At 35.6% G+C, this 25,778-nt stretch overlaps 1 protein-coding gene across 2 annotated transcripts in view; it reads right to left on the bottom strand.

Annotated features, from left to right (window-relative positions):
- Nucleotides 1-7,974: 7,974 nt before the first annotated feature.
- SPATA17 (spermatogenesis associated 17) overlaps nucleotides 7,975-25,778 on the bottom strand; it is a 240,353-nt gene continuing 222,549 nt past the window's right edge. The window contains exons 10-11 of one of the 2 annotated variants that reach the window (NM_001375655.1): nucleotides 16,815-16,897; nucleotides 7,975-12,793 (exon numbers count right to left, since the gene is read on the bottom strand). In NM_001375655.1, the coding sequence (NP_001362584.1) occupies nucleotides 16,817-16,897 (81 nt within the window). In that variant the 3' untranslated portion in view covers nucleotides 7,975-12,793; nucleotides 16,815-16,816. The remainder of the gene's footprint in view (nucleotides 12,794-16,814; nucleotides 16,898-25,778) is intronic. The other variant, NM_138796.4, reaches the window with a different exon arrangement.

Below are 25,778 nucleotides of genomic sequence, written 5' to 3'. Positions count from 1 at the left end.
GGAGGATGTGAACAGAGGGGGCTATCTTAGAATTCTGCCCACCATACACCTCAGCCAGAAAACAAAGTTCATGATTCAGAGTATCTTCTGTGTGGACTGAGGTTCAAAAAAGACAGAAATGATGAGATTTGAACATCTGAATTAAAAATAAATAAGAGCATAGATGTAGTAGATTAGGATTGTTCACCAAACGCTAGAATAATTGAACCAGAAGGCATATTATGAAACTGAAAGTAAGAAAACTCAGTATAGAATAAATGTATGCAAGGAGTAGAAAAATTGAAAATTCATTAAAGCAAAAGGTAACAGACGTTGGACATAGTAGATTTTGTTAAAGTAGATCAATATTTGAGCTCCTATAATATGTCAGAATATAATATGTCAGATTTCTGAGGATAAATGCAAATCATGAACAGGTAATGGTCATTTGGCCATTCACTGTAACATATATTCCCATTTCACCTTTTTTTTTTTTTACTCAGGAGTATTGAGTATAAATATGTTGTTTATTTTCAGAGAGAACCTACTATTTCAGTTCATCCACATTGTTGCCTTTAATTAGATTTTCTAATCAATCATCTCTGTGTATTGCTCCATGTTCAGAAGTCCATATTAATAAAACGTCTGCTTACTTATAAGAATTTGGTGAAAAGTTTAATTTCAGGAAGTTAATCCATCTGGCCTTGCCACCTGCAGAACTAGAGAAGGATAAGCTGGTGGTAAAGAGAACACCATCTGTTCTGAGAACAAGTTGATCTCTGCATGATGAACATGAAGTCAATCACATGATAGAAGAGCCAAGATGGTAAAAAGGGAGTAAAGAGTTTATTGGGTCTTCTATTTCATTCATGAGCACAATTTTCATCAAATAAATCAACACCACAACCAATGAGCAAAAGGTTTATGTTGTTTAGCTAGTCACTTGGAAGAAATTACTTCCCACATATTTGCCCTTTCTTTCTTTCTCTTTGGTGGCAACAAATTATTTAAAAGAATTATATCATTTCTAATGAAATATATGTTTCTTTGAATCGATCAGGCAATACACAATGCAACTTGAATCAAATGTCTAGGCTGGTTAGCTCAGTTGATCATAATAATATATCGGTGATCCAATGTCATAAACTTTACTTTTATACTGTCAAGTTAGTGTTACACAGAGACAGACTTCATTCCATAACCAGAATGCCACCTTCATCCTTAGCTAAGTAGCTGAAAGATGCCATCAGGGGATAAAGGATGACATACAACCTGTTACATTTATTCAACAAAAGTACTTCAAAGTTCATGCCCTAGTGATGGTGACCTGGTTGAATTGTAACTATGCAGAGCAGCACATTTACAAATCTCAGAGAGAATGATTTGTTTACTGGATGAAACTGGGAGCAACTGGAAGAATCAATGATAAGGAAAAACAGTTCACCTGTACTTTTTCTCACTAATTATTTGACATCTTCCTAGGCAGCATTCGAAGCTGATGACCATTTGAAATCTCTTTGAATTCTCTTTTCCCTAGGCTTTTGTGACAGTTAAAAAGATTTCTACTGTAATTCAACTTCTTTTCTCCTCTGGATCCTCTTCTCCTACGCTCGATTCTCAGGCTCTCTATTCACGTTTAAACATTTCAGTGAACTAATCCCCTGTCATTGATTCAAACATAACCTATAATCAGACTGATGCCTAACTTTATATTTTTGGTCCTGACTTTTACAAGAACTACACTTTCATAATTTTACATTCTTCAAGACATTTTCATGTAAATACCACACAGTCCCTTCAAAGTAAATTATATTTCAGACTGAATCATCTTCCTTCCTAAACCAGGCCATAGTCCAAGATTCACATGGTACCAACATTCTCTAAGTCAACAAGACTCTTCATCAGGGGTTCTTACTCATTTCACCCCAAGGATTTGTTTTACCCACCCAACCACCTCCCTGGAGCTCACTTTAAAAATATATTTTCACCAAAAAACCCATTTAAGTAGGCATTTTTCCATTTTTATTAAGCAAAGGCATTTGGGTCTTCATTCAGGAGTCCTAAGCAAACAAACTGCTATCACACTGAATTCCAGCCATAAGCAGGGATACATATTATTTTATTTTATTTTAAGTTCTGGGATACATATGCAGGATGTGCAGGGTTGTTACATAGGTAAACGTGTGGCATGGTGATTTGATGCACATGTCAACCCATCATCACCTAGGTATTATGTCCAGCATGCATTAGCTATTTTTCCTAATCAGCAGAGATATTTGATGTTTATTTAGTTTGTGTCACCAGCATATATAGAGTATATAGGTCAAGTGAGGAGAAATTAAGTGCTCTGTTGCTATTTGAAAGCAACCTATTAACAAAATAATCAAACCCAAGAAGTTCTATACTGATTTGTCTCAGATAGTCACCGTATTTGCATGCCTAACTTTTTCACAAAAACTTACACCCAAAGAAAGAACTACAAAATTGTATTGATGATTATTCATTCATCCATAAATTTCAATGGTTTCCTGGTGCTGACAGATAGAGAAATACGTACTTTAGGTGGCCTCTCTGAAGTTTGGCAGTAGATGTGTATGATCTCATGCAAGAAAGACAGAACATTCCCCAGTCCCCTTGGCAGAAGATGATGATGAGTGTAAAAGGAGATTAAACTTCTAAGCAATATTTTTTTTCTAAAAACCTTCTATAAGTACTTTATAAGAAAATAGCACTCATAAATGAAACCTGTCACGAACTTGTGATATACGTTACCGTCAAACAAGAATATTCTAGATTTTAGATGTTTGACACAAGCCGTGAAATACATGGACTTGAATAAAAATGAATAAAAGCTAACTGATAATTTCTTAAACTAAACCAAACCCAAATTCTGGCATAATTTTTCCAGATAGCACTCATTCACTTTTATTGCTTTGTTCTCTTAATAATCTAGCACTGAGGATCTTGTCAAAATATGGGTATTTTGGTCCCAATGATATGCTCAAAAACAGTCCTTTTTAATGGAACCTGTATCAAGGACACAGTTGACATCCTATATAATTCCTTAATTGAATTTAGAATAGAGGAAACTCTGACATCAACCTTGGACCAGTACCCAAACTAGAGCATGTTCAAATTATTAAAGAGCTTTAAGCCATTCCCTATCTCCATCTTCACTGAACTTTATTATATCGAAACCAGAAATACCAAGGATAGAAAATAGGTTTCAGCTTGCATCTCAATTCAAATGGAATAGTGGCTGCCTGGAGAGCCATGTGGAGAAGGATTCTGAGATCAAGTCAGTAGAAATGAGGCTTGTGATGAACAATGCCATGGAAAGTTAGTGGTAGAAACATCTAGAGGACAAAGTTGTGGAACCTAAAGATGTTTACCACAGGGAAATCTCAGGTATCTTTTCTAAATGCTTGACAGACAGACATATGAAAAAGGGAATCAACTTGTTCTAAATCACCAAATTAGGACGAGTAAGTGAAATCACAAACTCCATATAACAAAATAACTTTTAAATAATTAGAAATGCTCTAAATGGAACATACACTTTTGAGAGGCAAAGTAACTTCCAAGAATTAGAAGTACTCAAGCAGGAGCAGTGGATATTTTAGAAAGGATTCTATCATGAGTGGGGAATTAGAATAAATGAATTCTTAGGGATCTTGTCATATGCTGCCAAGCCTCCAACAATAAAAAACATCAACTTCTGTATAGTAGGGTCATTTGTTTTGTAATAAAAACAAACATATAAAAATACTGAACTATTTCAGATCAAGTAATATCTTTAGTACTTCCAGTGAAATTCTATCTCAATATGAGGCAATGTCTACATTCTGCCATGTATTTTAAGAAATGTTTTTATTAAACTAAAAAAATACACTTGAAGTTGAATGCCTTTTAAAATCTCAAAATTCGATTCTAATTTAGGAACATGGATATACTTGAACTAACGGTCCTTGCCAAAATGAAACTTATCACGATTATTTGTGCCATAGATTTGAAACCAATTGGTTGCCCTGGAAGGTTAGGTATATGATACGTTATTGTCCCATCAGCAATCAGCATCTTTGCCACAGAGTAAAAGAGATGGGGAGAATATCACAGAAGACAGAGATGAAAGCTGTGTAGTCAGAAGAAAAAAGCCTTCTTGATTATGCTGTGGACTTTCTGAAGTCTTTAATTCTCCCTCTAGCCCATCTTCACACTGGCATGTGGGATGTGCTGTAGATGGATGGTGATTCTCATCAGGAGAAGCACACACATATATCTTGTGGGTTGATTTTTTTATTTGCCAGCTCAAGAGGAGCAGGGAGATTTATTTGGAAGGATGGTAATGAAGGTGGGGAGGCACTAGTTAGACTGCAGTTTCTGTTCCAAATATGTTATTCTCACTTTTTTCTCTTCTTGATGCTGAGTTGCTCTCTTTATTTCTACTTATTTTGTCTTAAAGGGGAGAATATTTTGCTGTAATAAGCCAGTGGCTTAAGAGAGCATAGCAGTTAAGATGTGGGCACATATAATTTCTCTGTGTACTATTTGCTGGGTTATTTCAAGGGTTTTAATTACACTTTACATTTATAGTATGTGTGCATACATATACATTTACTTATACAAAATCACATACTATTGAAATAACTGTTGTCTTCATCCCAAAGTAAGATTTCATGTTCCCTTTCTTGCTCTCCTTCTTTTACTCAGCCTTATAAGAATCAAATGAATGCAATGCTGTGAATTGCATTAACTACAACAGTAACCAAAAAAAAATCACTTTCTTCATAACAATGGCGCAAATAAATGGGTTGACATCGCTGGACCTTAAAAAGTACAGCAAAAGGGATCATCAGCACCATCCTGATTCTAGCCAAAGACAAAATTATTCACTAAAAAGAAGGAGTAAATTGGCATACTCCTGGTTTCCAGAATGCCATCTCATGCCAAGGAGACAGCACAGCCCTTGGAGTCCTGTTAACAGTCAGATCAGGAGCGATATTCTACTGCAACAACAAAGGACCTACCTGAGCTCAAGGCTTGTGCCAGACCTGGTCCAATCCTCTGATCCCAATTTTACTATTTACCCTTTGGCATCGGTGGAGTTACTGATCCTGCCTCAATTTCCTCATCTGAGGAAAGTATGGGTGCTCTCTCCAGGGTTTTGGGTTTTGTTTGTCCCACTCTTCTTACACTCCTGATTTCATCACTTTATAAATGAAGTAAATCGTGCCTTGTACACTAAGGTGCATAATTCATGAAAAATACAGCTCCTCGAATTCTCAAAAACGGCACATAAATGTATCCAGAAACTTCATAAAGAAATAAAGCCCTGCACACCCCCTGCCCCAGGAGATCTTTTGTGTTTTCTTGTATGGCCTTTCACTATGGCCTCATTCCAAATTGCCAAAGATTAGCTGTCCCTATTTTTAACTTTAAATAAATGGAATCATTATTCACATGTATGTTCTACATCCAGTAGCTTGTACTCGACATTATATTTTGAGACTCTTCCATGTTATCGAGTGTTGTGGTGATGTAGTTAGCTGTTTTCTGTTGTTGCATTTTACTTCATGATTCTACCTCCTACATAAGCCCTTGAACTCCAGTTTATATCTCTGTAGCCCCATAAGACTATAGAAGATTGGCTCTGCTTTTCAGCCTCTTAGCTGTCACTTGGTTTCTTGGTTTCTTAATTCTGCAGTGTTTAAAAAAACAGAAATGCCTCAAGAGGAAAAGCAGTGGAGCCTGTTAGGCATTTGTGACTTCTTTTTAGTGTCTTGGGCCTCAAGGTGTGACAGCATTGTTAGCTCTTCTGATGTATTTTAACAGGTGGTCTTATATAGTTTTTCTAGTTGTTTTTGGTAGGAAGATGATTTCAGTAAAATCTATTCCTTTGTAGCAGGAAACAAGAGAGGGAAAAATCCACTCAGTATAGTTATCTATTTGGACATTCAGGTGTCACTTTCACTGCCATGTCCTGATACTTCTGACCAAAGTCTCTCTGAACTACTTAGAAGCAAACAAATCCTCATGGATTTTCTTCTTTCTGTTAAGTAGATCTTTAGATCTTTAAATATTCGTGCTATTAGCGTGCATGCGAATATATTCTAAAGATAGAAGGGCCCCATCTAGGCCTCCTTACTCTTTTCTTTAATCTCTATTACTGCCTAATACTGTGTAGGAGAAGTGTGGTCTTATCTGTATGATAGAAGAATAATATTTTGAAACAAAAGTATTATCTGTGGAAGTGTTGTTTTCTCTGTGGATATATTATATATGTGTCTCTACAATGGTAAAAATAAAAATGGAAACATTTTTAGTATCATAAATATTTCAAAATATTTGGATATTTCAAGGCCATTGAGTGAATGAGTAAATGAAAAACTAATAGTTTGCTAAAGCTGATTTACCTTGATATCAACTGAATATTTGCTCTAGTTTAATCCCCCTGAAGCTTACTTCAAGTCAAACTACTTTAATCTATTTTTTTGCTGAGTGTCCAATTAAGACTTTAAAAAATTTCCTTATGCACACATCTTGATCATTTTTATTTCTGTGCTTTTGCTTATGTAATTCTTTTTGTCAGATAACCTCTCTCACTCATATTTTCAATTCAATCAACTCAAGATCCTAACTACTATTAAGGACTCGACGTTTGCCTCCTCTAAGAAATTTGCCTTAACTATTTACATCCGTCTCCCATCCTATTTGCTGAACTTTTAGGTAGGCAGCAAACTTAAACACACACACACACACACACACACACACACACACACATATGCACACATTAAGTAACCATTTTTTCACTTTTAATTTCTCTTCAGATTCTAGTGATTTCATCTTCTATTTACTAAAAATAATTATCTGTTCATATTACTTTTAATACAGTAATGTTCACAAATGAAATATTCTGTGTTGAATCCTTGTTGAGAAGTGAATGAACAAGTTACCCAGGCTTCAAAAATGACAAAATGATTTTGTGTGTGTTCCCTTCTCCTGGTCAGTGATGTTAATAGTTTACAATAGTGAGTAAGAATAAAGAACTAGTCTTTTTGTTTTTTTTTTTAACTTAGTTTTCAGGTTTCCTTTATTCAAATGGATTATTTCCACATTGAGAGAGGTACGAAAACTAATTTCTGTTAGGTAGTTTGGAATGAAATATAAATGCCTTGAAAATACATTAAACAGCACAGACTAATTTCGAGCTGGAAAATAGGTTAACTATGGAACAATTCAAGCCTAGTAAATAATCATTATTTGATTTCATAGAGCTTAGGCTTCACTTGCAATTTGTATGGTCTTATAATCCCCCCTACAAAGCAGCAAATTAATTTTTCAACTTAACTTGAAACACACACTCTATGTTTCCCCTTTACCTGCTTAAGTGATTTATTCTGACCAGTATGTGCAGTTTCGTCATTTCTTAGTATAAGGATTCTTTAATGAACAGACATGTCACTTTGTAGCAAGGATTGCTTAAAGTCACAGTGTGCTAATGAATTGCCTCACTGCATCCCATGATCATGACTATGAAGCTGAGAACTATAAACTCAACTCAATATACTGGTAAGTGACTGTATCTGCCAGTACCAGCAGCAAGGTGATTCCCGCATTAATGAGTTGAAATATTTAGAAATGGAAGAGTGCTTAGCAGTCCCTACTGTGCCCTGTGAGGGAGCCTGCTGGGGACACTGAGACTCAAAAGGAGCAGTCAAGGTCCAAGCCCCAGATCAAGTTGGATTTCACTCCATTCCCACAGGAAAAAGCTTTGAATTACAAAACGAGAGTCATGAACATGTATGTGCTTGTCATGGTGCACTCTTCACTCTTTCTAGGACACGCTAAATAACTATTCCCATGTCAGTCAAAATTAACGCTATTATTCTCATTTGAAATTTTTCATTGGCTGTAGTAAACTACTGCAAGGTAGCTGAAGATGTAACACAAAAGATCTGATGAGTTGTGGTTTTAAATAAGCTCAGAGACGGTAGATACATAGAATTTAATTTAATCCGTGGAAAATAGAACAACCTAAACAGCATTACCCAGCGATTTGTTCAGTCATTCACTCAATTTTCAATAAAAATTTATCCTAATGCTTTGCACAGTGGTTTATTAAAATCTGTAACTTGGAAAAAGTGAATTCTGATCCAGCAATACTGCTCCTTCCCAGGCATCATCATTACCTCAAATAGGTTCATATAATTCAGTAACTTATTGTTCCTAAAAGGCTTTGAGCCAGCTTAAAATGGAAGTGAAAATAAAATGGAAGAGAAAATCAGGGCAAAGTTAAAAGCTGAGGTTGAAAAAAAATAATAAATTAAAGATGAATTTAGCACAGAAAATGGATACCGTGCAGCTGTAACAGGTAGGCCATAAATGTGAAAAAACAGAGCAAAAAAGGGGATAAAATAACAAGATTCATAATGTCCCCAGATGAGAATACAATCTTGAGTTGACAACCACAACAATACATTGCATAAATAACCAATTATACCAAAGTTTACAGATATGAAAGATTATTTATTTCCCAAAAGGAACACTTTACGCAAGCAGCAATCATAGCTTGATCTCAGGATCAACCCACTTAGTGTACATCACAATCTAGATCTACATCATATATAACTATAAATTAGTGAGACTAGTTAAAAGTAACAGGCCACAATGCACGCATTCAAATGACAAATGGTGTTTTATGAGAATGACTTAGCTTATCTGCTATTTTATAGCTTCTATTAAAAGATTTTTTTGAACTTCTTTATTTATCATTAGCACATTCGATGGATTTCACTTTATGCCAGGTATTCTGTTAGATGTTGGGTCCAGGGCATTTATCAAGAAAGACAATATTTGCCCTCAAGGAAATTAGAGAGTAGTGGAGAAGAAAGGTATTACCTGATTAACTACAGCAAAGCTGGTGTGACTTTTGATTTCAGAAGAATTGAAGCGTCTAATTCTGAAGGCTCTTAGGGTGTATGTTTTTAAACATCCACAGTGGTACTCTTAGTGTTTTTAGTGGTCAGTAGTCATTCAGAATCAAGTTTGGAGAATAAGATCAAGGAATTACCAGCTTTGGTCAAACATAAAGTCTCATTAATTTTCTTAAGTGGCTCATATTGAGAATATAGAAAAGAAGTAGTATATAAGTTGATGTAGTCTAGTAGTTTTCCAGGAGAAACAGACAAACTGCTTTCCCCAGTTATATTTTCTAATAAGATTTCATCTCGGTCTTCTCTCACCTTAATGCAAAGGCAGTTTTTACTCATCTGGACACCTCTGTAGTTATCATAAACTTATGTGTGTCTGGGGGGAGAGGCAGATGGTGGTTAAGGACAATGATATTACTTACATACACTAGCGATAAAGAGCCTTAAGCATTCAAAAACTTGAGTCTTATGAGAAGATCAAAGTCATATTCTGAACAATAAAATGCTTCAAAGTTTTTATCTGAGTACCACCTTCTCTGGAAGAACAGAGAAGGTCAGGGTCTACAAAATCAATGAAGGCCATTCATACCTGGGTTCAGTCAGGGGCCATGGCTACCATTTTTACGAACATGTGGGAGGAAATGGCTTCACAATCCAATGAAGATGGCCAATTATTTATTTTGTTATAAGTTTAGAAACAACCAAGAACTTACAAAAGTACACAAAATTGTATAGTAAATCTTCATACAGCCAATCATCAGCTTTAACAATAACCAAGTCTTGGTTCATCTTCTTTCAGATATACAGATGGTCCGCTATTTATGGTGGCTTGACTTATGATGTTTTTACTTTATGATAGTGCAAAAGCAATATGCTGTAATCTAAAAATAAAGCTTTAAGACCCCCCCCTCCAAACATCTGCATGGACCCCTCTTCTTGGCCAAGGGTATTCCAAAGTTAACCTGAAAAACTAGTTCAGGCCATTATAGGATGTGGGGGTGGGGGTGGGGCATGGGGAATTGGACATGCTTCATTATACCCTCCTCCCTTTGGAATTCAGGCACCAGTGACCAGCATTAACATTAAAATAGAGATCTTAAGATTTTTCATAGCAATAAGATGCCAAGTTTCAGCCTGACTGTAGTATAGCATCACATGACAAATATCAGGCCTTGAAATAAATTGAGGCATTTTACCCTAAAATATATATTTTTGACATATTTTGCAATGGCCCTGCGAAGCTATCTCTTATGGGGAAAATCTACATTCTGTAGAGAACCTTTTTTCACATCTTTTCACTGATCCAGGAGATAATTTACTAAGAGTCTGACACCTTTTTAAGTCAGATAAGAAACATTTACAATCTATGCTCTCTGAAGTCTGCCACCTGGAGGCTTCATCTGCATGAGAACCTTGGTCCCCTTATTTTAATCCAGGTAAAGCCTTCTATGGATTCCAGGTCTTTAGATAAATTCTTTGAACCAATTGCCAATTGGAAAGTCTTTGACTCCAACTATGACCTGGAAGCATCTCCCACATCCTCCCACCCCCCATTCTCTTGTTTCAAGTTTGAGGCATCCTGCCTTTCCAGACTGAACCAATGTACATCTTCCATGTATTTATTGATGTCTTATGTCTCCTTAAAATGTATAAAACCAAGTTGTATAGCTTGACCACCTTGGACACATGTTGTCAGGACCTGTACTGACAGGTGCAGTGTCAAGGGCATGTCCTTAACCTTGGCCAAATAAACTTCTAAACTAATTGAGACATGTCTCAGGGCTGGGTTCAGTGACTCATGCCTGTAATCCCAGTACTTTGGGAGGCCGAGGCAGGCAGATCACTTGAGCTCAGGCGTTCAAGACCAGCCTGCACAACATGGTAAAAACCCGTGTCTACCAAAAGTACAAAATATTTAGCCAGGCTTGTTGGCCCATGCCTGTGGTCCCAGCTACTTGGGAGGCTGAGATGGGAGGACTGCTTGAGCCTGGGAGGTGAAGGTTGCAGTGAGCTGAGTTCATGCCACTGCACTCCAACCTGGGTGACAGAATGAGACTCTGTCTCAGAAATTAAAAAAAAAAAAAAAAAAAAAAAAAACATTGTCTCAGATACTTTCTGGTTTACAATGCATTCAGTAGAAACCATACTTTGAGTATGCATACAACTATTCAGTTTTTCACTTTTAGTACAATATTCAATAAATTACATGGGCTGTTCAATATTATAAAATAGGCTTTGTGTTAGATGATTTTGCCCAACTATAGGCTAACGTATGTGTTCTGAGCATATTTAAGGTAGGTGAGGCTAAGCTAAGCTGTCTGGTAAGTTAGCTGTATTAAATGCATTTTTAACTTACAATATTTTCAACTTAGGATATTTTCAATTTACAATGGATTTATTGGCACATAACCGATTATAAGAGGAGGAGTATATGTATTTTAACTCACTTCTTTGACTTTCAAATTAAATCCCAGCCAACATATCACTGCATCTGTAAATATTTCAACATTTATATCTATAACTTTGTAAACCAAAACAATACCATGACACCTAAAAAAAACCAATAATTCTTTTATACCACCAATATCCAATCAGTGTTCAAACTTCCAATTGTTTCAAAAGATCTTTTATTTTACAATTTGTTTATTTAAATCAGGAGCTCAAAACTGTACACACACAGTGATTGATAGATAATGTCTTTTTAATAGGTTCCTTTTTTTCCCCTCAGTTTTGTAATTTATTTGTTGAAGAAACAGATCATTTGGCCTATAACATTTCCCAGAGTCTGGATTTCGCTGGCCAGCAATTTTAAATTAAAGCTTTTATGGTCAATAAATCACATTTCCTGTCCCTCTGTGCTATCATTGGATCCAACCCCCAAATCATATGCAATAAGTTTAGTGTTATTCTCTTCAGATGCAAGAAACAAAGATTCCCTCAGGATACCTCTAGCAGGAAGTTTTATTGTAAAGATACACATGGGATGGGATTAAAGGATATAGGAACCTCAAATGTTGAGTTAACTTCCAAGGATTCCAGGAAAATCTAAGCATCGCATAAAAAACAGAAACCTCACAAAAGCCCAGCTTTTTGGAAACCAACTGTAGTTCAGAGCCATGCAGGATCTGACACAGCCCTGGCATCGAGATTATCTCTTTGCTCCCTTGGCAGCAGAGACTTGCAAATGTCTTCTCTATTTGAGAGTGCCTATGCTTCTGCTCCCACACCCACTAGTCTGTGTCTGTTGTGTCTGTGTGTCTCAAGTTCAACAGTCTGAAGGGTTTCTAACTGGTATAATCAGTCATTATTTCTCAGGGCAGAGCTTTCATGCTGAACTATTTCACACAATTTACACTTCAAACCATTCATCATCCTACTTACATGTTAGTCGCCCTTAATTTGGGTACCCAGCACTGGTGTCATCATTTGTGACCCGGGTGATGGGGTCAGAATATGGGTATTTCAGGGGAACCATTTATGGCACTGTTGGTCACCAGGGGCTGTGATTGTGACAGACATTCTCAGAGGTAACAGACTCAAGTTTAAGTATTTGTTTGAAAAGATATGTCTAAGAGATTTCAAATACATACACACAATAATTAATTCATGACTAGAGCTACAAAATTTTATAGTTTATTGAATCATAGCAAGTATATTTCCTACAGGATCTTCATCTGTGTTTTCCTTTCAGAACTGTTAAGTTTTAAAATGCAGATGGCTTCAGTTTCTTCTTCTGACGCCTAAGAGAGAGAAAACTAGAGAGATTAAGAGATCCAAGGTCACTCATCAGACGTGGAAGAATCCAGGACTCCAGGCAGTGTGGGGTCTTCTATTCACACTCACTTCACACCTTAATCTCAGTTTTACATTTCATCTTCTGTTTTCTAAAAACAAAACAGTAAAATGAAAAAAAAAAAAAAAGGAACTTCAGAAACATGAGTTCTTAAATTCTCTATTTAAGTCTTCCTCTCTTAGCTTCAGTTCAGTTAATGTTAGGAGGTCCTAGCCCCGGACTTGAATCATTTTTAGCCCTGTTCTCTGCTCTCCGTCTACACTACTGCAGATCTTCATGAACAGTCATGATCAAGTCTGGGTAACACAGCAAGATCCCATTTTTACAAAAAAATTAAAAAGTTAGCTGGGCATGAGGGCATGTACCTGTAATCCCAGCTACTCAAGAGGCTGAGGCAGGAGGATCACTTGAACCCAGGAGTTCGAGGTTGCAGTGAGCTATGATCACGCCACTGCATTCCACCCTGGGCAACAGAGTGAGACCCTGTCTCTCTGAAAAAAACAAAAACAAACAAACTAAAAACCATAAACAAAAAAGCCTATCTTGATTATGTGTGCCACTAGACATATGGAATGTCTAGCAAATCTGCCTCTATTATGGAAAAACATAGCAAAACATCTTCACACAGGTAGGTGGGGTGGTTATAATATTTTTAGTCAAAGACAATTTAACCAAGAGAAGGATGCTGAAGATACCTTTATTCTTTTCTCTTTGCCAATTCACTATGCCAAAACTTGAAAGGGTTATAAGTTCACATGATGCCAAACTGAATGACAAAATTTAATAATTTTTCTTATTAAACTAAAATTTTAACTCCTAACAGGCACACATATAACTTATATGCTTAATTATTACTCTCCCCTCATAGAACTTTTTTCCATACACAGTTGCTAAGATCTTATTCCCTCTGGAAAAAAGACGATGGCATTTAACCCCTTTCCCAGTCCAGGTGCTAACTATACTTATTTTTCATTTCATTGATTTATTTGTTTTAGCTGAGTTGTTCATATGCCAAATTCCTATGGAAAAGGAGAAAAAGTACATTGTTTTTCAAACCTAACAAATAATTTAATTAAAACTCATCTTATCGGGCCTCAAAATTGAACCACTTTTTAGCAGACAGACAGCCTGGACCAAAGCCCATTTTGCAAAGACAAACTGGAGGAAGTTGGGAAGCCTGTAATGCATGAAAACTCACACTGATGCCAGACTGAATCGGGTACATTATACAATTCATAAAATTACAACCAATGATTTTAACCTTATCTTGCTAATTTTTCTCCACAACAATGTTTAAAGAGACTCTGCCTGGAAAGATAAATGGAGCTAAAAGGATGGCAAAACACTCTTGACAGGACACAACACACTGATTTAGACCAAACTGCTTTTGGGAAACTATTGAAAGTTACAAATAGTGACCATTTAAAAAGACAAATTAAAGACACTAAAAGGAGTAATGTTATCCTAGTCAGACAGTAGATTTTAAAATATGTGTGTGTTTAAGATCTAGTTCCGTGTATTTTTCAGTGGTTTAAATCTTAGAGCATTAATGATAACAGCTAGGTACAGGCAGTGTTTATCCTAAACTTAGACATGCTAAAAGAGAGAAAGATTAATCTGATAAAGGCATCACTATTTCTAATCGGACTGATGGGAAAATGTAGTATTGGGTGTAAAAGGCGATGTCGGGTGAATTATAGTGAAGTGATGAACTACCTTGGAGCTGAAGCAATCAAATAGATAGCTCTAAAAATTACTATGGCATCTTTATTCAACAGTTTGGTGCAGGTGTCCCCATCTTGGCCTTTTTTTACAAACAGCAGAAGCACTTTGTTGTATTTGGTGAAATGAAATCTTAATAGGAGAGCCTCAGCTAAGGCTGCTGCCCTTCACTTACCAAAATTAAACACTAGACATTCATTTCCTATCAAAGAAAAGGAGATGACGTTTTTATAATATTGTCAATTCACAAAATTGTTAAAAATTGAAAAGAAGAGCTGGCAAATATTAAAAAAAACCATAACATATTTGAGCCTTTGCATTGCACATTCTTTTTAATTAAAAATAATCTACACCATTTGTTACTCATCTTTGTCTTTCTGTATAAATAATTTAGCAAGTAATTATTTCATATTCAGAAAAAAAGATAATTGCCTCTAAATTATTATGATTAAATAGAATAAAGTCAAGATGTTTTTGTAATTGATAGAGTAGAGCAAACAGTCCCTACTGGAGTGTTTTGTTTTAATACTTGGCTTTCGTCTGGTTGCATTAAAACATCAAAAAATAGAACTAAAAAGAAGTATCCCACAGAAAGTACTCATAATCTCACCACCCAGAGATAACCACCATTAACAGTTTTGCAACATACAAATGTATACATATACATATTAAATATAATAGTGGGTGCAAGTGTGTTTTTATACATACACACATGTATATATGTATACACACATATGTATATATGTATACACACATACATATGTATATATTTAAGTGAAATAAGACTACACAGCGTACTTTGAATCCCGTCTTCTTTTCCTAGAAATATATTGTAGGCATTTTTAAAAATTAATGGGTAAAGACTTATAACATTTTACTGTCTGCATAGTACTGCCTTATATGTGTTTTATTATTTAACTAACATATATTAATGAGTGTTCAAGTTATTTTCAATCTTTCATTATCATAAACAGGACTGATATATCTTTGAGTTAAAAGCTGAAGTCATACACAAATATGAGACATTTTATTTACATTACTTCATACTCTGGCTCTCAAATACCAGATAAATGCTCCAATGGGTAATGATACTTTATAAACCTTTGAAACAGCAATTCCACTTGGTATTATATATACATTTCCTATTAGCTCAGAATATTTCATATTTCCCCTCATGTATTCCTTCAGAGTAGCTAAAAGATAGACATTGGTATCTGCATTTAACATATTAACTTCCAAATTGAAGCACTCAGTGGGGAGAGAGGAAAGAGTAACATAAAATCGAAGGAACTTTGCCTGGAATCTACCCTGTGCTCTAACAGCCTAGTGCTTTCTCCTTGGTTCTTGGTCTGAGAGGATAGCTGGGGGATTCTAACTAGCATGATTTCTCATTTCTGCCCCTTTCCTCCAACTGCAGTGATCTTTGCTGTCTTCACCCAATACATTCTTTAAATTTGGCTGAAAATGTCACAATAGCTCCTATTAGACACACTTCAATTGTAACCACTGCTCTATTCTAAAATGCCTTAGAAATGGAATACAGTATTCATTGAGAGTTTATTTTTTGTTCTTGAATTTTATATGGTTCTCTTTATTCTTATATATCTTCTAAACATTGATAATCAGGATTCTATATTCCATTTCTTTGGTATTGTAAGACACTTCATACTTCAAATAATGTACATTATTTAGTATAATATTTGAAATGATACTGTATCAACACAGCACTGAGAAGTATTTTGGCTTTGGAGCACCAACAGTATTTTTTCACCGTATTGTGTAAAACTATTTATTGTATTAGTTAAAGGGTATCTAAGGGCCGCGCATGGTGGCTCACGCCTGTAATCTGGCATTTTGGGAGGCCACGGAGGGCAGATCACTTGAGGCCAGGAGTTCGAGACCAGCCTGGCCATCATGGTGAAACCTCATCTCTACTAAAAATACTAAAAATACAAAAATTAGCCAGGTGTGGTGGCACTGACTGTAGTCCCAGACACTCTGGAGGCTGAGGCAGGAGAATCACTTGAACCTGGGAGGTGGAGGTTGCAGTGAGCCAAGATCACGCCACTGCATTCCAGCCTGGGCAACAGAGTAAGACTCTGTCTCAAAAAAAAAAAAAAAAAAAAAGAAAGAGTATTTTAGATTTTTAATGTTCTATTTCTTAATGTATTTTTGGCTCATTTTGGAGAAGAGATCTGAAAAGTAAAATTCATGATCTTTTAAATGTTGAAAACCATTACACTACAATGAAGGAAATTTATGGAGTCTTATTACATAAAATATTATTATAGCATGGTTTTTAAAATGCTTGATAGTTAAGTCAACCCCATTTGATTTTTTAAGTGTTATTTAATATACTTTTTGAATTACTTCTTAGCAAAAAGTCATACCTTTATACAATCTGTCCAGCTTTTGAATATAATTTTCCATACTTTGAGAAGAGCTCAAATGATGGTAATACAGTCTGGAAATCCTAGGAGGAAAAAGTTCAAAGATTACCACAGAGATCTTCATGATTTTATGTTATTACCATTATTGTTATTATTTAGATTAAATTGCTAGACAGATGTCTTTCAACTGCACTTCAAATTTCCCATTATACTCTCAAAACAAAATTAGCAGGTAAATTTTTGAAGTTTTATCAGTTGAAAATCAGGCATACTGAATTTCCTGGCACATAGTCTTTAACAGTTATGGGTGTCACCTGCAAGCAAGTCTGGGCAATGCAAACCTCAGGCATATCCACCTGTCTTCAATGAGTCGCAATCTAAATTTTTTACCTTGGCTTCATAGGGATTGGTACTTTGTTTTCTGCATAATAAATATTTGTTAACTGAATGAATGGAAATGGAAAGGTGATACAGCCAAATCACTATCATAGAGGGCAGACTATTTTTATTACCTCAGAAGTGATTCAAATGAATGGTAAAGGACTCCAGAAGGAAGAGGAAAGAAATCATTTTTTGTTGTGTAACCAGTGAAACAGCATTTGACTGAGCATAAAAATGGATGCTTTTCATGTATGTTAAAACAGGTGAAGTCATTAAAAGGGTAAGATACACTAAATCAACAATGAATGCTGTAAACAAATGACCAGACTATATAAAGGTGTATGTTTCTTCTTGGAAAGGAGGTCTATTGTTAATGAAGGTAATTTTGGCTGAGTTTTTTTTTTTTTCTTAAGAAAACATAGGAGAAAAGACCTATGCCCTGAGTGCAGCTCTTTATAGGGCCCATATATAACAAACACATGTGAAAATAAATGTATTAAAGAACATGTGGACATGAGGGTGTCTCTGTCACTAGAGATCACGGTCTCCACTCTGGTACAGCAAAGCCTCTAACCCTAAATATCTGCTTCTACAATTAATGCTTTTTCAAGCCCCAGGGAAAAGCTTCACATCTGTTGCTCTGTGTTTGTCATGGCCAAGTGACATGAAGGATGGTGGGTTGTGACAGACACTGCTTTTGAGTGCAAAGAGAATTTGAGTGATAAAAATGCTTAGATAAAAGGCAAATTAATTAATATGAATGAAATCCTTCTTGGATAGCATAAATGCAATAAAATTTTACATAATGAAATATCATTTTCCTGTGGGGCTGAGCATCTATATTCTTGCCTTCTTTTTGTTACAAATTACAATTCTGGAGGTAATCAGAAATCAACACATATTTGCAACAATGCAAGTGACATCTTTACTTTTTGCAATAGTAAATTGTTCATATCACTCTTAAATTTGAGCATATAGAGTTTAGACATCTGCATGAAGCATCAGTGACTTTTTTTGTTGGCAACTTGATAACACTGAAACTCAGAACTGTGAATACCTTTATTTTTATAAATATATATATATATATAATATTTTATTTAATTTTCAAAAAAGTAGACCTGCCTTGCAAGATATGTTAAAAGAAGTTTTCAGTGAGAGGCAAATGATATGGGTTAGAAATTCAGCTCTACATAAAGAAATAAAGAGAAGGAATAAATGAAGATGAAATAAAACCTTTTATTTTTCTTATTCTTAGTTGACCTAAAAGATAACAGTCTTTGTTCTAAATAATAATAACAACAATGCCATTCATCATTATCGCTTGTGAACAAGGGAAATAAATGACAGCAATGTTATAAGAAATGGGAGGAAGGAATCAGGAATAATCTGTTATAAGGTAACTGCACTACCCCTGAAGCAGTATAGTGTTATTTGAAAGTGGACTGGGATTAGTCATAAATGTATACTCCAAACTCTAGAACAATCGCTACAGAAAAATTTTGATATGCTGAGTGAAAGAAAATTAAATAATATAAAATGTTTAAAACTAGAGAAGACTAGGAGTGGGAGACAAAAGCAAAACAAATAAGAAAATGAAGACCAAGTTACAAATTTGGTATATATTGATCAACTATATTAATAATCACTTTAAATGTGGATAGTTTAAATGCATCAATAAAAGAACAAGACTGGATAAAAAAGAAGAACCAACTATATGTCGTCGACATGAAACTCACTTTTAATGTGAAAACACAGGGTAAAAGTAAAGAGATGCAGAAAGATATACCATGCTAACACTAGTCAAAATATAGCTGGAGTAGCTATATTAATTTCAGACAAAATAGATTTCAGAATAAGGAAAATTATTAGGAATAAAGAGGAGCATTATATAGTAATAAAGTGCCTAGCAATAGAGTGTGAAAATCTATGAGGCAAAAATTGATAGAACTGCAAGAAGAAATAGACAAATTCATTATTGTAGTTGGAGACTTCAACACCCCTTTATCCATAATTGGCAGATCCAGCAGGCAGAATATAATTGAAGAGTACTACCATAAAACTGTATATAATTGACATCTATAGACTGCTTAATCCAACAACAGCAGAATACTCATTCTTACAGAGCTCACACTGAACATTCACCAAGATAGACCACATCTTGGGCCATAAAACACAACTTAACAAATTTAAAAGAAGAGAAATCATACAACGTCTGCTCTTGGACCACAGTGGAATTAAATTAGAAATCAGTAACAGAAAGATTGCTGGAAAATCTCAAAGTGTTTAGCGATTAAACAATGCACTTCTAAATAACACATGGGTCAAAGGAAAAGTCTCAAGAGAAATAAAAAATATTTTTAACTAAATAAAAATGAAAATACAACCCATCAGATTTGTGAGATGCAGCAAAAGCAGTGCCTAGAGGAAAATGGATAGCACTAAATGCATATACTAGAAAAGAAGAAAAATCTAAAGTCAATAATCAAAGCTTCCACTTTAGAAAACTATATTAAAAAGAGCAAATTAATTACAAAGTAAGCAGAAGCAAAGAAATAATAAAATCAGAGCAAAAATCAACAAAATTATGAACAGGAAAACAATAGAGAAAACCAACAAAATCAAAAGCCTGCTCTTGAAATCATCAACAGAATTGATAAACTCATAACCAGGTGAACCAAGACAAAAGAGAGAAGACACAAATTACTAATATCAGGACTGAAAAATGGGCCATCACTTCTAATCCTATGAGTGTTAAAAAGATAAATATTATGGCCAGACATGGTGACTCATGCCTATAATCCAGCACTTCAGGAGGCCAAGGTGGGAGGGTTGTTTTAGCTCAGGAGTTTGAGACCAGCCTAGGCCACATAGTGAGACTCCATCTCCCAAAAAGTTTAAAAATTGGCTGGGTATTGTGGTGTACACCTGTAGTCCCAGCTACTTAGGAAGCTGAGGTGGGAGGATTGCTTGAGTCTGGGAGTTTGAGGTTGCAGTGAGCCATGGTTGTGCCACTGCACTCCAGGATGGATGACAGAGTTCCTCGTAATATTCCTTTATATATATACGTAGCAAGACCCCTTCTCTTAAAAAATAATAAAATAACATTATAAACCTATAGAAATTATATATATAGAAAATTACATATATAGAGAAGAATAAATGTATACACATAGAAAATTATATATGGAGAATTTTTAGATATAACTTTTACATATATTATTTATATACATAATATATAAAATTTTATATATTATATATTATGTATATAAATATTTTAAAATATATTTATAATTTTATATTATATAAAATTTTATATATTATATATAAAATTATGTTTTAATTATATATAAATTTATGTATAATATAAACATTTCTCTCTATATAATTTTCTACATATATAAATTTATACACATATATAATTTTATTTTATTTTATTTATTTATTTTTTGAGACGGAGTCTCGCTTTGTCACCCAGGCTGGAGTGCAGTAGCATGATTTCAGCTCACTGCAAACTCCGTCTCCCTGGGTTCAGTGATTCTCTTGCCTCAGCCTCCCAAGAGGCTGGGATTACAGGCACACATCACCACGCCTGGCTAATTTTTGTATTTTTAGTAGAAACGGGGTTTCACCATATTGGCCAGGCTGGTCTCGAACTCCCGACCTTGTGATCCACCCGCCTTGGCCTCCCAAAGTGCTGGGATTACAGGCATGAGCCACCACGCCCGGCTATAATTTTATTTTATTATTTTTTTAAGAGAAGTTGTCTTGCTATGTCGCCCAGGCTGGCCTTGAACTCCTGGGCTCAAGGGATCCTCCCACCTCAGCCTCCCAAGTAGCTGGGACTACTGCCACCATGCCCAGCTTTATTTTAAAAAACTGAATCAATAATAAATAAGCTTCCAAAAAGGAAAAGATGGTTTCACTGGTGAATTCTACCCAATAAGGAAGAAATGATATCTATTTTCTGTAATTTGTTCTAGAAAATAGAAGCACAGGAAACACTTGCTAACTCATTCTGTTTTGTAATCTGTAACATGGGGATATCTACCTCACAGGATTGTGATTAAACAAGACAAACTATCTGGCTCTTAACACTAGTATTTTCCTCTCTCATTCCTTAAATAATAGAAGTCTATTCATATTATACCTACCATGTTCTTTCAAAAATTAAATCAATTCCATTGGCACTTACAGGAGACTAATTTTGGGGCAATAATGTGGTGAAACAGGACTTTGATGATACCATGTCATCAGCAGAACTATTTTCAATAAGCACATTCAATACATGCCTATTCATTTGTGTTAAATTATCCATGTGTAATATTGTGGGAATATAATATAATGCTAAATATATATACAAATGAGATAAAAATAAACATAAATAGAAGTTCTAATATTTTCTTCATTTCTGTGGATCTTCTTGTGTACTTAATTTTGGACTCATCTGATATAATGAAGCATCACTTAATTCTGAGTTAGACCTTCTTTTGTGCATTCAAGTAACATTTTGGTGTCTGCAATGTGTCTGACACTATGCTAGCTTCCAACCAATGGTAACCAAAACTTGGTCTTATCTGGTGTCAGACAATAGTACAGATAAACAAGGACTGACCGCTTCAAGTATGCACCTTCTATGTCCTCCAAAACAAAATCTTTCAGAAACTCTTTATTGCTCTTATTTTTAAATCTAAAATCTCACATTCTTACATAGCTCTAGTCAACCAATAGCTGTGACCTCTGGTACAGGAAGAGGTGAAGATACCATCAGGAGAACTTTGGTTTTGGGAGAAATCTGGTGTTGATTAGCATTTGTTTAAAATTTGCCTCTGATATGATAAAACATGTCATCCGATCATGGGAAACTATGAGCTCAAGAAAACCACCTGCACACTTGCACAGTGTCACTTTTTAAATGGGGGTTGGGGAACTGCTTTTCTGAAAAATAACCTCATCAAGAAAAAACACTAGGGATGGTAATTTTAAATGCTGCCATAGCCCTTGCTTGCCAAAGCAGACGGCTTCTGCTATTAGGATGCCCAGCCAAACACAAATAATCCACTGCCAAAATGAGCTCCTTGGGACAATTTAGGAGTCTTTGGAAGTGAACGGCTCTCTGAGCTGGAATGCAGCCCAGGTCCTTTTTCAAACCCAAGTCAAAATGATAAAGAGCACATTTCCTGGGCCACTCACCCACTAAGTGTAAGATTACTTTAGGTTGGCAGCTGCACTGTTTCTCTAGTTATTTAAGGCTTTTCACCAGATACTCACAACTGAGTGCTTAAATACTTCGATGTTAGTAAGCGGGACAGCGCTGTTACACCATAGGAGACAAAACTTTTGAGATTAGAGAGATAAGATGAAAATCAAGGGTTATGCACATATTTTTCAGCCAGCTTATAATGTCTTACATATTCAGCTTTAAAATATGGCAAAGATTTTTCTACTAGAGTTAGAAAAAAGGAGCATGGCAAGAACTTCTCGCTACGTATAAATACTATTTTAATCAAAAATATTTCCTTATATCCTGAACGAGACTTCAACTAAGTCTGGTTAGCACTGGAGACTTTTCAGACTCTAAATGAGAGTTTACAGGCAGGTTTAAAAGATCACCCGGCATTATTCCTGCAAGATCAAACTTTGCTCTCATTGCATGTAGAAAACTGTGATGACATGAGGATCTCTACAGTTCTGACAAAAGAATATACAGGAAACTGTTACAGTTGTAGGACTTCTCCCCTTTTTTCTGTTCACTGTTTTCAGGAAAATATCCTCAAGTATTCAATCTTAGTTATTTGTGTTGTTCTAAAGCTCAGAGATTTAGGATTTATTATGCATTCTTCAATCAAACCATGTGTACATGTTCCCAGAGAAAAAAATTTTAGCTGATGAGTGGATGATGCATTATCAGTCTGAATCTAAACAGGAAACGAAGTTCCTTTGCATATTGTGTGATGGCCAGAGTCTCACTGGTGATTACAGGGGTCATGTGAAAACTTTCTTATTACTTCTGCTCAGAGGCAATACTGCTTTGGAGTCAAGCTGCCTGAGTTTGAAATCCAGGTTTATCTTTAAGGACTTTGTGATCTTGGAAAAGTTATTTAGCCTCTGCCGTGTTTGTTTCCTAATTTGAAAACAGATAAAATAACCTGAAAGTATGAATACATGAGTTTATCCATGTGAAGCAATTAAAACAGTGTCCAGCACATAGCAAGTACTTAACAAGTGTTAGCTATTCTCTAACTAAGAAACTCAAATACACTTTTAAAAAACTGTAGATGAATAATCCTAAATAGTTGCTAATCAAAGGTCATTTATATTTGACTTTAGTATACACATTCCTGCTTTTATTTCAATGTGGGTATATCTAAATTGTAAACTTATCCTCGAGTTTCTACTGATTCTTTTCCTGTTTTTATATACTGTATCTTCCTTCTTAATAGTTCCATCTGTCGGCCAGGTGCAGTGGCTCACACCTGTTATCCCAGCACTTTGGGGGGTTCAGGGGGGCAGAACACGAGGTCAAGGGATCGAGACCATCCTGGCCAACATGGTGAAACCCCATCTCTACTAAAAATACAAAAATTAGCTGGACTTGGTGGCACGCACCTGTAGTCTCAGTTACTTGGGAGGCTAAGGCAGGAGAATAGCTTGAACCCAGGAGACGGAGGTTGCAGTGAGCTGAGATCATGCCAGTGCACTCCAGCCTGGCGACACAGCGAGACTCCATCTCAAAAAAAAAAAAAAAATAGTTCCTTCTGTCTTTCTCTTATTTAGTTCTCATATTTAGTCCTTTCCCCATCTTTATGGACTTGACAGGCCCACATGACAGACATGCAAACTGAAGGATAAATGATCGAGTTCCTTGTTTGACCAGTTCATTGTATTCAGTGGCATATGTATTAGGCCATGATAAAAGTAATACAAGATATAAAGATATGTCAGAAGGAAGAGATTTAATTATAGAAACAGATGTAGGTATAGAAAGGCAGATGTACATGAAAATTTGGTTTCAACTATTTAATTACAACCAAAAACACAAAAACATGTCATCTAAATAAAAGTACCTGAAATTGAACATCTAACTAGATACAATGTGTTAGTTAGAATGATCTGTAGCCTGTTAGTGGTTTTATCATAGAGCTAGTGATACCATGGTAAGATATTCCAGCAACATTATTTTCATATACAAAGATGTGTCAATTTAAAAAGGAGAAAGGCTATATGAAACTGGCACTAAAGGGAACATTTGGCTTGCATGTAGTTAATCTGTGGGAAAATATGCTGCAAAAACGTTCAGAGACAGTATCAGAATGGTTTAAGAAGAACCAAATGAAATGGGGAATAACAATTGAAACTGAGATTGTAGCATCCTAAGTTTTCTCCTGCTACAACACTAAGTGTTTCTTACTAGGAGAAAAACTGAATGCATCCAAATAATGAGGTACTGCAAGAAAATGCTCAAGAAGGGGAGTAACTGCTAAAAGCCAGGTTACATTTTGTTCACAGTTGTATTCCCAGGATTTAGCACAGTGTCTACTACAAAGTAGGGACTTGACAAATGTTATTTAGCTGAAAGAATGACTAAATAAATGAATAAACAGATGTGGCCCTGGGGAAACCGTGAACTTGTTAAAAGTTTGAGACTTCTGGAGTAGCACATCCTTACTCTCTCACTCAACCCTGTCACTCTAGAAACCAAGTGAAGGAAATGGAAGTCGCATGCCCTGGACATCATCAGGGTCCTCCCAAAGTACACACATGGAAAACTTTTTTTTTCCAGCTAGTAGATGCTGTGCCAGGTCTCTCCGTACATTCAATTACCTGGGTTTCAAAGTATTTGGGGGAATGATAGAAATCAGGGAAGAGAGAAAGAATAGAGAAAAGTTAGTGACAGATTTATCTATGGGGGAGAAGGAAGTTGTATCAGTCTTGTTTGTTGTGTTCCCAGTACCATCACAGGGCCTGAAACATATCATATTAAATTTTATTTAAATAGAAATACAGGACTTCTCAGAGTGACCCTATTTTGAGAGGAAGATAATGCCTAGATTTATCCTTAATATGATGGTGTGTTCAGTGATGACTTCTTTATAAGAACACTGCTACTGGAGATCCTCACTATTCACAGGTTCCTTATTTGAAATTTGCCAACTTGCTAAAATTTATTTGTAACCTCAAAATCAATATTCGCAGTGTTTTTGTGGATGAACTGCAACCTAACTTAATAGGTAGACAAGATTGAAAACCTGACGTAAGAGTATGTGCCTGTAACAATTGCTGAGTCTTGGCCAATCCCAGCAGCCATACTTCAACCACTCACATACTGCTGAGTGTTCAAACTGTTCAAATAAGGCAAATGCTGAGCTCTAACCAATCCAGCTGTTTCTGTACCTCACTTCCAATTTCTGTATGTCACTTTACTTTTTTTGCCTATAAATTTGTTCTGACCATGAGGCACCCCTGGAGTCTCTCTGAATCTGCTATGATTCTGGGGGCTGCCCGATTCACGAATCGTTCATTGCTCAATTAAACTCCTTTAAATTTAATTTGGCTGAAGTTTTTCTTTTAATAACCCTAAGTGTA

The sequence above is a fragment of the Homo sapiens genome, chromosome 1, assembly GCF_000001405.40.
Source record: "Homo sapiens chromosome 1, GRCh38.p14 Primary Assembly".
Lineage (NCBI taxonomy): Eukaryota > Metazoa > Chordata > Mammalia > Primates > Hominidae > Homo > Homo sapiens.
The sequence above is the reverse complement of the archived record's forward strand: the minus strand, read 5'-3'. Positions and strand labels throughout refer to the sequence as shown.